This window comes from Homo sapiens, chromosome 2, assembly GCF_000001405.40.
Source record: "Homo sapiens chromosome 2, GRCh38.p14 Primary Assembly".
NCBI classification, from domain to species: Eukaryota; Metazoa; Chordata; class Mammalia; order Primates; family Hominidae; genus Homo; species Homo sapiens.
Window position 1 is genome coordinate 201,185,575 of NC_000002.12, and position 14,177 is coordinate 201,199,751.

Genomic DNA, 14,177 nt, shown 5'->3' on the forward strand with positions numbered 1-14,177 from the left:
CTTGCAAGTGTTGGGGAAAAGTTTTCTGGGCTGTTGCTTTTTGAAGTAGCCTCGCCGTAATTTTTATTTTTCAGCACTTCTAGGAAAGTCTAATGCCCAGAACGGAGAAGGTTGTGGTGAGGGGAGGGCCTGGGAAGTCAGGGGGCCATATGTCCTCACTCTCTAACTCCCTGCCCCACCTCTCTGTCCCTTTCAGGCTGGCCATGAAATCTCAAGGTCAACATTGGTATTCCAGTTCAGATAAAAACTGTAAAGTGAGCTTTCGTGAGAAGCTTCTGATTATTGATTCAAACCTGGGGGTCCAAGATGTGGAGAACCTCAAGTTTCTCTGCATAGGATTGGTCCCCAACAAGAAGCTGGAGAAGTCCAGCTCAGCCTCAGATGTTTTTGAACATCTCTTGGCAGAGGATCTGCTGAGTGAGGAAGACCCTTTCTTCCTGGCAGAACTCCTCTATATCATACGGCAGAAGAAGCTGCTGCAGCACCTCAACTGTACCAAAGAGGAAGTGGAGCGACTGCTGCCCACCCGACAAAGGGTTTCTCTGTTTAGGTGAGGACGGGTCTGTGGTGGAGATGGGAGGATCTCCCATCTAGTGTTCATTCTGGCCATTGGGCTTTGAAAGGAAGCTGCAGTTAAGATCTTTTGGTTATCTACCTCCTTGGATGATAAACCAGGAGATTCTAAACCTCCTTCTCAGCCTCTGATGCTAATGAGATAAGAGTTGGGAGGTCAGCAAAGCTTCAAGACCAAGCCCTGGGCCCAGAGGTGGCTTCCCTTTGTTTTGCTTCTCACTAGCAGTGAAGCCCACCTCAGTGTGGCAGAGCCCGTGTTTTCCCTGCTTACCAGCGGCTACACGTGCAGATCTTCTCCCTCCTGGGATCCACTAGTCTGTCTACCTGTTTCCCGGGGTCTTGAGAAGAGAGTAATGCATACTTGGAGTGAAATAAGCAAGATGAAAAAAGAGATGTGTTTCTGGGGTAGGGAGGGATGTCATTTATGCCATGTCTAGTTATAGAAATTTCTATATTTTTGGGTGGGAATCCAGAAAGGTAAAAACAGGCATTTTGCCCAAAGAGGTAAAATTTAGGCATTGGTCTTATCATGGATGACAGCGTTTTATTTTTATTTTGAGACAGAGTCTCGCTCTGTCACTCAGGCTGGAGTGAAGTGGCACCATCTCAGCTCACTGCAACCTCCGCTTCCTGGGTTCGAGCGATTCTCCTGCCTCAGCCTCCTGAGTAGCTGGGACTACAGGCACCCACCACCACACCTGGCTAATTTTTGTATTTTTAGTAGAGACAGGGTTTCCAACATGTTGGCCAGGCTGGTCTGGAACTCCTAGCCTCAAGTGATCCACGCACCTCGGCCTCCCAAAGTGCTGGGATTATAGGTGTGAGCCACTGTGCCAGGCTGATGACAGTGTTTAAAATTGTTCACTGACATAGTGTCCACATCAGAGAACCTCACGAAGAGGAGCCTTTGGAGGGTGTTTTATGGTCTCTGCGATTAGAACACATTAAGCCTTAGCGGTGGAACTGGCTTCCAGAACCTGAGTTGCCCTTGAGTCAGTGGAAGGAATGATGAATTCCAGAAATCCATATTTCCATTCTGCTGGCTAAACATCTGAGGGACAGTCTCTGACACATAGGGGTGTTAGTATGTGGATGAAATCCTCACTGTTTCTGGTTGTGGATTATATCTCGAAGCTGGGGTAGTTTTCTTCCCTTTTCAATATACAACCGACTGTACCTTGGCTGGCCTGGGGTCCTATCTACCAAGGGCCTGTAAAGTAAGCCTGAATTTCTTGATGGAATCAGGAGATGGGAAGGCATGTCAGAATTGTGTTTTATGCCTTTTTTTTTTTAAATATGCCTTCTTAGTGTGGTGAAAAACAGCATTAGACTTGGAGTCAGAAGGCCTGCTTCTACCACTTACTGTGTTATCTTTATTTAAACAAGTCACTTAGAAACTGAAAGTTTTCATTTTTTGAACCTATAAATGGGATTAATAATTGTCTACACATAGAGTTGATCATTCAAATGACAGAAAACATTTATGAAAGCACTTGATTGATTATGGTGTCCTCCACAAGTGTAAGGCTTTATTTGTCATTTTGGGTGTGTGTCTTAGAAACCTGCTCTACGAACTGTCAGAAGGCATTGACTCAGAGAACTTAAAGGACATGATCTTCCTTCTGAAAGACTCGCTTCCCAAAACTGAAATGGTGAGTGGGTCATACAGAATGGGTCTGTGTGAGCACTGTCTTAATCAATGATTAGAAAGATGCTGGAAAGGGTTTTTAGGGAGATTTATTTTTTATGGGAGACAGTATCATACAATGGTTACGAACATTGGCTTTGGTGCTGGATGAGCCTAGATTCTGGTCCTGATTCTAATTCTAAACCCATGCTGTGAGGCCAATGATTGAACTTTTCTGAGTCTCTATTTTCTTAGACGTAAAATTGTGGGCAATCGTATGACTTCCTTCTAGGATTGTTGGGAGAATTAGCTGGAATAATGTTCATGAAGCATTAGCATGAGGCCAATATTTGGTATAGCATTCAGTAAATGCTCACTTCTGTTGGAATCTGTTGTGTTTTGTTTTTGTTTTTGTTTTTTTTTGAGACGAAGTCTTGCCTTGTTGCCCAGGCTGGAGTGCAGTGGCATGATCTCAGCTCACTGCAACCTCCACCTCCTGGGTTCAAGCCATTCTCCTACCTCAGCCTCCCTAGTAGCTGGGATTACAGGCATGCACCACCATGCCCAGCTAATTTTTGTATTTTTAGTACAGACAGGGTTTCACCCTGTTGGGCAGGCTGGTCTAGAACTCCTGACTTCAAGTGATCTGCCTGCCTTGGCCTCCCAAAGTGTTGGGATTACAGGTGTGAGTCACCGCACCTGGCCTTGTCCAGTTTTTTCTTTCAAGTGCCTTTTAATCTGTAGGTTAGATTTCCTCCCTGCCCCCAAATCTCTTTCTTTTTCTTAAAATGTATCTGTTGAAGAATCTCTGGGCGGTTGGCCTGTGGAGTTTCTCACAGGCTGAGTTTTGCTGATTGCACACTCGTGGTGCAGTTTGGCATGTTCCTCTGTCCTCTGCATTTCCTGCAGACTGGCAGCTGAATCCAGAGGCTTCATCAGACTCAGGTCAGATCCGTTTGGCAAGACTATAGGTAGTCTTGTTTTTTCATCAGGAGGTACCTGATTTTCTCTCTCTTTTTCTTTGATATTAGCAACTGTTGATGTTCAACCATTTTATATATTGAATTTTGAGGGGTTGCAAAAATGGAGATATTAGAATTTTTTTTTTTTTTTGAGATGGAGTCTCACTCTTGTCACCCAGGCTGAAGTGCAATGGCACAATTTCAGCTCACTACAACCTCTGCCTCCTGGGTTCAAGCGATTCTCCTGCCTCAGCCTCCTGAGTAGCTGGGATTACAGCAGCCTGCCACTACGCCTGGCTAACTTTTTGTATTTTTAGTAGAGATAGGGTTTCACCATATTGGCTAGGCTGGTCTGGAACTCCTGACTTTAGGTGATCCACCCGTCTCGGCCTCCCAAAGTGCTGAGATTACAAGTGTGAGCCACCATACCCGGCCACATATTAGAATTGTATCATTTCGTTTTCCCTTCATCCATTATTTGGTTACCCAGTGATACAGCTTATATGTGAATCCTTGATTCTTTTCTTTCAGTTATTTTTTTTTTTTTTTTGAGACGGTGTCTCACTTGGTCATCCAGGCTGGAGTTCAGTGGTGTGATCTTGGCTCACTGCAACCTCTGCCTCCCAGGTTCAGGTGATTCTCCTGCCTCAGCCTCCTGAATATCTGGGATTACAAGCAGGCACCACCATGCCTGTCTAATTTTTGTATTTTTAGTAGAGACAGGGTTTCATTTGGCCAGGTTGGTCTCAAATTCTTGACCTCAAGTGATCTACCTGCCTCAGCCTCCCAAAGTTCTGGGGATTACAGGCATGAACCACTGTGCTTTGCCTAGTTATCCAGTTTTTAAGTTAATTGGTATCTTATCATTCTCTGAAGGTGACCCATTACAAAATATATATAAATTTAAACTCATGGATTTAAACATATGTGAGGTATTTCAATCTACTGCAATTATTATCCTTACTGAAGTTCAAACTGAGGCTGGGCATGGTGGCTCATGCCTGTAATCCCAGCACTTTGGGAGTCTGAGGTGGACAGGTCACTTGAGCCTCAGGAGTTTGAGACTAGACTGGGCAACATGACAAAACCCGGTCTCTACAAAAAATACAAAAATTAGCTGGGTGTGGTGGCGTGCACCTGTAGTCCCAGCTCCTCAGGAGGCTGACATGGGAGGATCGCTCGAGCCCAGAGAAGTCAAGGCTGCAGTGAGCAATGGCTGTGCCATTGCACTCCAGCCTGGGTAACAGAGTGAGACCCTGTCTCAAAAAAATAGTTCAATTGTCCCATTTTTTCCCAGGGGATACATCTTCAGTTTGGTTCCTAAGTCATTTTGACATGACCTTAGTAGTCTTTGATGGCTTCTTTACTATCTGGCAAAAATATCCCAGGTTCATCTTGTATATTTTCTACCCAGTCCTGGAATCTCTCATTTCTCCCAAAAATCCTGACTTCTTTTAATGAGAGATGTCATTTCAAGACCACAAACTCGATGCTGGCATGCTCATTGCTTTTGAGTAAATATATATGCACACACTACGTATATACACATATGTATACACACACACACACACATGCACACACACACATGACCTAAAGGTTCAGTAATTCTTGGAGAATTTTAAAAATCAGGCGATTTTGTTTTAGGGAATTCTTTTTTATAAAACATTGTAAGGATCTTCTGCTTTTGCCGTAAAATTTCAGTGCCCACATTTGCAGTGGTACAAAGCAATTACCTGCTCAAATGGTAGCATTATACCTTAAATACAGAATTTCTCAAAGTCAGAGGAGATTCCTGTAGTTTGACAAGCGCTCCAGGTGGTTTTCATAACATTCTCTCCCAAGTTGGGGCATCCGCTCACAAATTTTCCAGTGTCTAGGTTTATACATAAAATGAGACCACTTTTTATTGTTATACCCCGTCCTATGTTAGGGACTCTCTGAACAATATGAGGTGGCGGGTGAGGGACGAGAGAAAGGTCATTTGTTAAAGCAATCTCTGATATTCGAAACACTGAGTGTTAGTTTTCAAACAAGAAAAGCTGGAAAATGTTTTTTTTTCTCTTTTGCTTGCACAGGTTCTAGAACTCTACTTGAAGGCATCTGTGGCTACAGAATTATTATTATTATTATTATTATTATTTTTAGACAGAGTTTCACTCTTGTTGCCCAGTCTGGAGTGCAATGGTGCCATCTCGGCTCACTGCAACCTCTGCCTCCTGGGTTCAAGTGATCCTCCTGCCTCAGCCTCCTGAGTAGCTGGGATTACAGGCGCCCACCACCACACCCAGCTAATTTTTGTATTTTTAGTAGAGGTGGGGTTTCACCATGTTGGCCAGGCTGGTCTTGAACTCCTGACCTCAGGTGATCCACCTGCCTCAGCCTCCCAAAGTGTTGGGATTACAGGTATGAGCCACTGTGCCTGCCCAGAATTATTTTTATGGTCAGAAGCATTCCAAACATTTCCCCCCTACTAAAATAGCTTTTAAATGATCAAATGCACATGTTCATGTGGCCAAATGATCTTGTTTTTCTCAGTATAACAGTAAAAGGAAACGTAACTGTGCTTAGCTGTGGCATGGAATTGTGATATTACCAGGTCAAATTCAGGAAAACCATATTTCCTCTTTGGATTCCAAATGATCTCAGCTTTTTTTTGTTGGGGGCGGGGTGGGGAGATCTCATTTTTTGTGTCAGAATTGTGGCTGAGTTACACACCTCAGATAATCCAGGTTGATCTGTATTGGATTTTGCAATCAGACCAGCCTTTGGAAGTGTGTAAAGGACAGTCTCTAAGCAACACAGATGTTTCCACACCAGGGCTCAGTGAGGCTGCATTATCTGCAACTGCAATTGCAAAAGACCTTATCACAGAAATAAATTACTTACCCACCATTGGAAAAGGGCCTGAACACCCCTCAGCCAAAACGGAAAGGTTCTAAATTCTTACAGTCTCTCTGGGGAAACACAAATAACCTTGCCTTTGAGGGGCATTCTGGGCTTTGTCTTTGATAGCTTTCATAGAAATGTAAGCAGTATAGCTGGCCTACACATATCCTGAGAGATCTCACAACTGTCAGGAAATCCGTTCTCAGCACAGCAATCAGCATACAACATTGAGTCTAAAGGAAACCACACCTGAACTTACTCTTTAACAAAAAAGCAAAAAAAGAACTTTCAGATGTTTGCTGCTAGTATTTGCCAGAGTGGTGTTAAACTAATGTCCAGGTCCCATTTAAGTATGTGCGTGTGTATGTGTGTGATGTACTAAACATCTAATAAACTTTTAGAAAGTATAATGAATTTCCGTAATTGCTTCTGGAATCACATCTTAGCCCTTTATTCCTCCTGGTAGGATGCTGTCAAGACATGAGTTTCTGGCCTGGCAGGGTGGCTCATGCCTGTAATCCCAGCACTTTGGGAGGCCAAGGCAAGCAGATCACCTGAGGTCAGGAGTTTGAGACCAGCCTGGCCAACATGGTGAAACCCATCTCTGTTAAAAATACAAAAATTAGCTGGATGTGGTGGCATGAGCCTGTAATCCCAGCTACTCAGGAGGCTGAGGCAGGAGAATGGCTTGAATGGAGGTGGAGGTTGCTTTGAGCTGAGATTGCACTACTGCACTCTAGCCTGGGAGACAGAGTGAGAGACTCCATCTCAAAATAATAATAATAATAATAATAATAATAATAGCTGAATTGTGATTTTTTGTTTCAGAAAATTCTTTTTCTTTTAAAATATCAAATATAAAATTCTTTCGAAACATTTTCCCCTCATTTCTTTGGTGTCCCTCTTTTGCTGGCTTCCTAAGCAGTATCATTTAAAGCTGTGACTTAGAGTTCAGTGGTTAATAACATAGACTTTGGCATCAGATTGTACCAGCTCTGCCATTAATTAGCTTTGTGACCTTCGGCAAGTTACTGGAATTTCTTTGTGCCTCAATTATTTCATCTTTAAAATGTGGATTATAATAATATCTACTTATTCAGTTGTTGTGCTGTTAATATACAGCAAGCACTGTCCCTGTTGCATAGAGTTATATATATATTTGGTATCTGGTATTAATATAGATTGTATACAGATTTGCTTGGTAATGCCTCTTCCCCTACATTCCTGAGCAACTTGAGGGCAGATGCTGTTATATCTTATTTATCAGTGCAAAACCTAGTGCCTACTGGCCATGCAGATAACATTTGAGTGAGTGGATAATCAATAGGCAAGTAAATGTAACTCTATTGATTCTCTTGTAGACCTCCCTAAGTTTCCTGGCATTTCTAGAGAAACAAGGTAAAATAGATGAAGATAATCTGACATGCCTGGAGGACCTCTGCAAAACAGTTGTACCTAAACTTTTGAGAAACATAGAGAAATACAAAAGAGAGAAAGGTAAGTAGCTTGTGATTGCTAACTTGGACCAGACCATGGAAATTCTTAAACCAATTGGCCATGCATGATGTTTTGATTATTTGTTTTGTTTTGTTTTGTTTTGAGGCAGAGTCTCACTCACTCTGTCACCCAGGCTGGAGTGCAGTGGTGTGATCTTGGCTCACTGAAACCTCCGCCTCCCGGGTTCAAGTGATTCTTCTGCCTCAACCTCCCGAGTAGCTGGGATTACAGGAGCCTGCCACCACGCCTGGCTAATTTTTGTATTTTTAGTAGCGACAGGGTTTCACTATGTTGGCCAGGCTGGTCTCGAACTCCTGACCTCAAGTGATCCACCCACCTCGGCCTTTCAAAATGCTGGGATTATAGGTGTAAGCCACCATGCCTGGCCCGTGCATGATGTTTACTCATCATTCTGATAATATTCTGCTAGGAAAGCCAGAAATCTTCCCCTTCGTTCATTCAACACATATTGGTTGAGTTCATATTTTGTACCAGGCACTGTTTTAGAAGTTGAGGATATAGCAAAGTACAGAGCAAAGCTCCTGCCCTCTTGCAACTTATATTCCAGTGCAGGGAAGTAGTTTTAGACAAACGTCTTTTTCTGATTCTAATATGGGAGTGAGAGTATAGGGAATTATTTTAAATGAAATAACATGAAAAAGAAGGCAGGATAGCATGGGGTAAGAGTGGACTCTATAGAGTCGGATTGCCAGGACTCCACTTACTAGTGGTGCAGTGGTACTTTTTTGGCTTTTCTATGTGTCACTTTCCCTATCTGTAAAGTGGGCATAATAATTGTACCTACCTCCTAGGTTTTTGTGAGGATTGAATGAGATAATTTCTGTAAAATGCATGTCTGGCATGGAGTAAGCCTTCTATACATGTGGCTATTATGGCTCTCTCAGAGAGAAAAGTCATAAAGACTTCACATTCTCAGAAACTACTATCAAAAAAGAACTTTATTTTCTTGTGTGTGTGTGTGTGTGTGTGTGTGTGTGTGTGTTTTAAGTCTGTCTGATAAAGGTAGTTCTGCTGTGATATTTTATACAGATAGAAGCACAGGGCAAAAGTCAAACCTGGCTGCCTTACCACGTGTCAGTACGCTAAATATCTGTGTTTTTCTGAGTTCATTTCTCCACTGTTAAGCAAGCGCTATACATAAAAACTCATGAGTGTATTCATGAAACTTTTATGCCACACCCTTAATTTAGTTCAGTGAGTGACTCTAGTGTGCAAATTTCTTGGTTGAAAATGAAACTAGCTAAGAGGAAATGTCTGTCTAAGAATTTGGTTAACACAGAATGAGTTGAGGAGCAAAATATACTGTTGTCAAACTGATAAAATCTCAAACAATAAAATGATGAATAAATGCATAATTTAAGTTATGAAGAATAAAAACAGTTCTTTCTATCATCAAATTATCAAATGAGAAATAAAAAGCAGAAGGTTGATATGGAAAGAATATTTGAAATCCTCACATGAGCTCTGAGTTTTTTTCTAAACACATTGTCATTTTTCTGTAATGCCATATCCCATATAAAGTAAACATAGGGCAAGTGGTCATATTATTCTGGATATTTAAATTCTAAAGAAGACACACTAGTTTCTATGTAGTTGATTACATTTGCCTCAGTGAGTCTTGAAGACTGAGCTTTGTTTTTTTTATTTTTATTTTTTGAGATGGAGTCTCGCTCTGTTGCCCAGGCTGCAGTGCAGTAGTGTGATCTTGGCTCACTGCAAGATCTGCCTCCCAGGTTCACACCATTCTTCCGCCTCAGCCTCCCAAGTAGCTGGGACTACAAGCGCCTGCCACCACGCTCAGCTAATTTTTGTATTTTTAGTAGAGATGGGATTTCACCATGTTAGCCAGGATGGTCTCGATCACCTGACCTCATGATCAGCCTGCCTCGGCCTCCCAAAGTGCTGGGATTACAGGTGTGAGCCACCGCGCCCGGCTTGAGCTTTGTTATTTTTATTTTTATTTTTATTTGAGCTGGAGTCTTGCTCTGTCGCCCAGGCTGGAGTGCAGTGGCATGATCTTGGCTCACTGAAACCTCCACCTCCCAAGTTCAAGCGATTCTTCTGCCTCAGCCTCCTGAGTAGCTGGGATTACAGATGCCCGCCACCATGCCCAGCTAATTTTTGTATTTTTAGTAGAGATGGGGTTTCACCACTTTGGCCAGGCTGGTCTCAAACTCTTGACCTCAAGTGATCTGTGTGGGGATTACAGGCGTGAGCCACTGCGCCTGGTCCAGGACTGAGCTTTATATCAGCAGAGTTCTAGTTTTGATTTTTCTTTTCTACAACCTACCTGTGTGTGATCTCTTTTGGGTGTCAATCATTATTGATATTTTAATATTGACTTTCTTTAGTTCTAAGAGTTTGAGCCTAATTCTGCTGTTAAGATGAAAGACTAAAGGACTAAAGAGTAGGTGTGCAGACTTTAGACTTTTCTGTAAGTGTGTGTGATCCAAAGTCCAAGCTAGGATACTGGCTTTATTTAAGGACCACCTGGCTAACTTTCTAAGTTGTCTTGAGCCTTGGTGTTTGCTTCAGTATTTTTTTTTTCTTTTTTTTGAGACGGACTCCTACTCTGTCCCCAGGCTGCAGTGCAGTGGGGCAATCTTGGCTCACTGCAACCTCCGCCTCCTGGGTTCAAGCAATTCTCCTGCTGCTAGTCAGAAGGTGATTTTTATTTTTCTGTCTGTGATTTTATTTTCAGCTATCCAGATAGTGACACCTCCTGTAGACAAGGAAGCCGAGTCGTATCAAGGAGAGGAAGAACTAGTTTCCCAAACAGATGTTAAGACATTCTTGGAAGCCTTACCGGTAGGTTCAGTGGTGTGCTGGTCAATGCTTAACAACCGGCTCCACCCTCCAACCTCCCCTCCCTGCCACCCCAAAAAAGAAAAAGAGAGAGAGGCCCCGGTTTGTACCATTTATTGTAAATGGTCTCACCATGGTGATTGCAAGTAAACAACATGATATCAACCAGAGTGCACATTTTCTGAAAATTTAACAGTTGGCTGACACTAGCTGACTAGTGAGAGCTAGTTAGTTTGAGTTCTCGCTAGTTAGTTTGAGCTGACTCCCCACACCCCTGAGTTGCTCTGAAATGGTTCCTCTGTTCTTATCTGTGGGATGCAATTAGAGCCAGCTTTAGGGACATATAATCTATGGAGCACAGGGCGTCTGATAGTAATTCCACAGTTCAAGTACAGAGCTTTTGTTTAATGCTCTGCTGTTACTGCTTTGAAATTCTTAATGTATTGAACAAGAGGTTTGCCAAGCATGTAGCTGGCCAACCCAGAGGGCAAGGGTTTCTGGTTTCTGTGGTGCTCAGCTCTGAAAGGATGGGTGGAAGGGGAAACGTTGGGAGAATTTGCAGTCTGTTCCTCACCATGTGATCATGATCCTTGGGAGATATGTGACAGTCTTCCCTGGGATTTGTGGTTCTTCCAGCAGACTTGGGTAATTTCTTTGCCAACATCTGTCAGCATCAATGAAGTTAGCTTGGTCTGGGAAATGTTTTGTTTTTGTTTTCAACTGTGATAAAATACACATAACAAAATTTACCATCTTAATCAATTTTAAGTATACAGTTCAGTAATGTTAAATACCTTCACATTGTTGTGCAGACATTACCACCATCCATCTCCAGAACTTTTTCATCTTCTTTTAGTAAAACTTTGTACCCATTAAACAATAACTTCTCATTTTCTCCTTCCCTCCAACCCCTGGAAACCACCATTCTACTTTCTCTCTCTATAAATTTGACTTTTCAGGGTACCTCATATAAGTAGAACCATACAATATTTGTTCGTTTGTGACTAGCTTATTTCACTTAGTGTAAAGTCTTCAGGGTTCATCCAAGTTGTAGCATATCTCAGAATTTCCTTCCTTTTTAAAGGCTGAATAATATTCCACTGTGTGTATATACAGTAAGTCCTCACTTAAAAGGTTGATAGATTTTTGGAAACTGAATTTAAGTGACAGCATACTGTATAATGTATTTATTTTTATTTAAAATTTTTTTTTATAGAGATAAGGTTTTGCTATGTTGCCCAGGCTGGTCTCAAATTCTTGGGCTCAAGCAATCCTCCCGCCTTATCCTCCCAAAGTGCTGAGATTACAGCCATGTACCACCACGCCCAGCCACATACCATATAATGAAACCAATTTTACCATAGGCTCATTGATATAAACAAGAGTTGGCCAGGCATGGTGGCCCACACCTCCAATCCCAGCACTTTGAGAGGCCAAGGCAGGCGGCTTACTTGAGGCCAGGAGTTCGAGACCAGCCTGGCCAACATAGCGAAACCCCATCTCTACTAAAAATACCAAAATTAGCTGGGCGTGGTGGTGCATGCCTATAATCCCAGCTACTCGGGAGGCTGAGGCACAAGAATAGCTTGAACCTGGGAGGTGGAGGTTGCAGTGAGCTGAGATTGCATCACTGCACTCCAGCTTGGGCAACAGAGTGAGACCCTGTCTCAAAAAACGATAACAAAAAGCCCTAAGAGTTAAGTTTCTATAGCATACAGTTCGTTGTTTCACTTAAAGGCGGAGTTACCAAGAACCTACTGATGACTCTGAGTGAGGACTCACTGTATTACATTTTGTTGTCCACTCATCCATTGATGGACTCTTGGGCTGCTGCCACCTTTTGACTATTTTTAATAACGCTGCTGTGAATGTTGGTGTAAAAATATCTCTTTGAAATGCTGCTTTCAATTCTTTTGGGTTTGTATCCATAAGTGGAAATGGTGGATTATATAGTCATTCTATTTTCAATTTTTTGAGGAACCTTCATTCTATTTTCCACAGTGACTATACCATTTTACATTTCCACCAGCTGTGCACACATCCTCAGCAACACTTCCTCACCAAGACGTATTATTCTCTTTCATTTTTGATAGTAGGCATCCTAATGGAAGTGAGGTCCTATTTCCCTGTGGTTTTGATTTGCTTTCCTTAATGACTAGGGCTGTCGAGCATCTTCTCATGTGCTTTTGGCGATTTGTATATCTTCTTTAGAGAAATGTCTGTCCAAGTCCTTTGTTCATTTTCTAATTCGGTTGTTTGTAGAAGTTTTATTTTTAATTCTTTTTTTTTTTTTTTTGAGACGGAGTCTCACTCTGTCGCCCAGGCTGGAGTGCAGTGGCAGGGTCATGGCTCACTGCAACCTCTAACTCCCAGGTTCAAGCGATTCTCCTGCCTCAGCCTCCCAAGTAGCTGGGATTACAGGCGCGCATCAACACACCTGGCTAATTTTTGTATTTTTTAATAGAGACAGGGTTTCACTATGTTGGCCAGGCTGATCTCGAACTCCTGACCTCAAGTGATCTGCCTACCTTGGCCTCCCAAAGTGCTGGGATTATAGGTGTGAGCCACCGTACCCGGCCTTTATTTTTTAATTCTTTTTTTTTTTTTTTTTTTGAGACTGAGTCTTGCTCTGTCTCCCAGGCTGGAGTGCAGTGGCTCAATCTCAGCTCACTGCAAGCTCCGCCTCCCGTGTTCACACCATTCTCCTGCCTCATCCTTCCAAGTAGCTGGGACCACAGGCGCCCGCCACCACGCCTGGCTAATTTTTTGTATTTTTAGTAGAGACGGGGTTTCACCGTGTTAGCCAGGATGGTCTCAATCTCCTGACCTCGTGATCCACCCGCCTCAGCCTCCCAAAGTGCTGGGATTACAGGCGTGAGCCACCGCGCCCGGCCTATATTTTATTCTTAAAAATTCTTTTATGGCTTCTTTACTATTGTCATGGTCTGATATTTTTACAGTTACAATTTTTAGATTTAAAAATAATTTCAATTTTATAGAAAAGTTGCAAGAATGTGAATAATATAAAGAATACCTATGTACTGTTTTCCTAGATTTACCTACCTGTTGTTGATGTTTTACCCCATTTGCTTTATTATTTTTGTGCATTTACTCACACTTGCTCTCTTTCTCCCTTTCTCTCCACACACACATAATTTTTTTCTGAACTTTTTGAGAGTAAGTTGCATACATCATGGCCTTTTACTCCTAAATATTTTCGTGTGTATTTCCTAATAATAAGGATATTCTTTTACAGAACTATAACACAATTATCAATGCCAGTAAAGTTATGTTAATATAATACTTTTATCAAATCAATGGTCCATATTCCAATTTTGTCTGTTGAACCCAATAATGTCCTTGACAGTTTTTAAACCATCTAGTACAAAATTCCACATAGGATCCTATATAAATGCAACACAAGGCTGGGTATGTTGGCTCACACCTGTAATCCCAGCACTTTGGGAGGCCGAGGTGGGAGGACCACTTGAGGCCAGGAGTTCAAGGTGAGCCTGGGCAACATAGTGAGACCCTCTCTAAAAGAAAATAATAAAAATTAAAAATACAATATAATACAATACAATATTGTATTTAGTTGTCATGATCCTTTAGTCTCCTTTAATCTTTTTTTTTTTTTTTTTTTTTTTGAAACTGAGTCTCACCCTGTCACCCAGGCTGAAGTACAGTGGCATGATCTCGGCTCACTATAACCTCCACCTCCCAGGTTAAAGCAATTCTTGTGCCTCAGCCTCCCAAGTATCTGAGATTACAGGCATGCACCACCACATTCGGCTAATTTTTGTATT

At 42.2% G+C, this 14,177-nt stretch overlaps 1 protein-coding gene across 12 annotated transcripts in view; it reads left to right on the plus strand.

Annotated features, from left to right (window-relative positions):
* The window catches only part of CASP10 (caspase 10), a 46,266-nt gene that overhangs the window by 2,434 nt on the left and 29,655 nt on the right, over positions 1–14,177 (plus strand). For 11 of the 12 annotated variants that reach the window (XR_923043.3, XR_923044.3, XR_007082551.1 and 8 more), the window contains exons 2-5: positions 197–550; positions 2,132–2,225; positions 7,410–7,545; positions 10,268–10,374. Coding sequence is in view for 9 of the 12 variants with exons in the window: in NM_032974.5 (NP_116756.2) it covers positions 204–550; positions 2,132–2,225; positions 7,410–7,545; positions 10,268–10,374 (684 nt within the window). In the remaining 3 variants the exon portion in view is untranslated. Of the gene's footprint in view, positions 1–196; positions 551–2,131; positions 2,226–7,409; positions 7,546–10,267; positions 10,375–14,177 lie in introns of those variants that run through there. The other variant, XM_047446016.1, reaches the window with a different exon arrangement.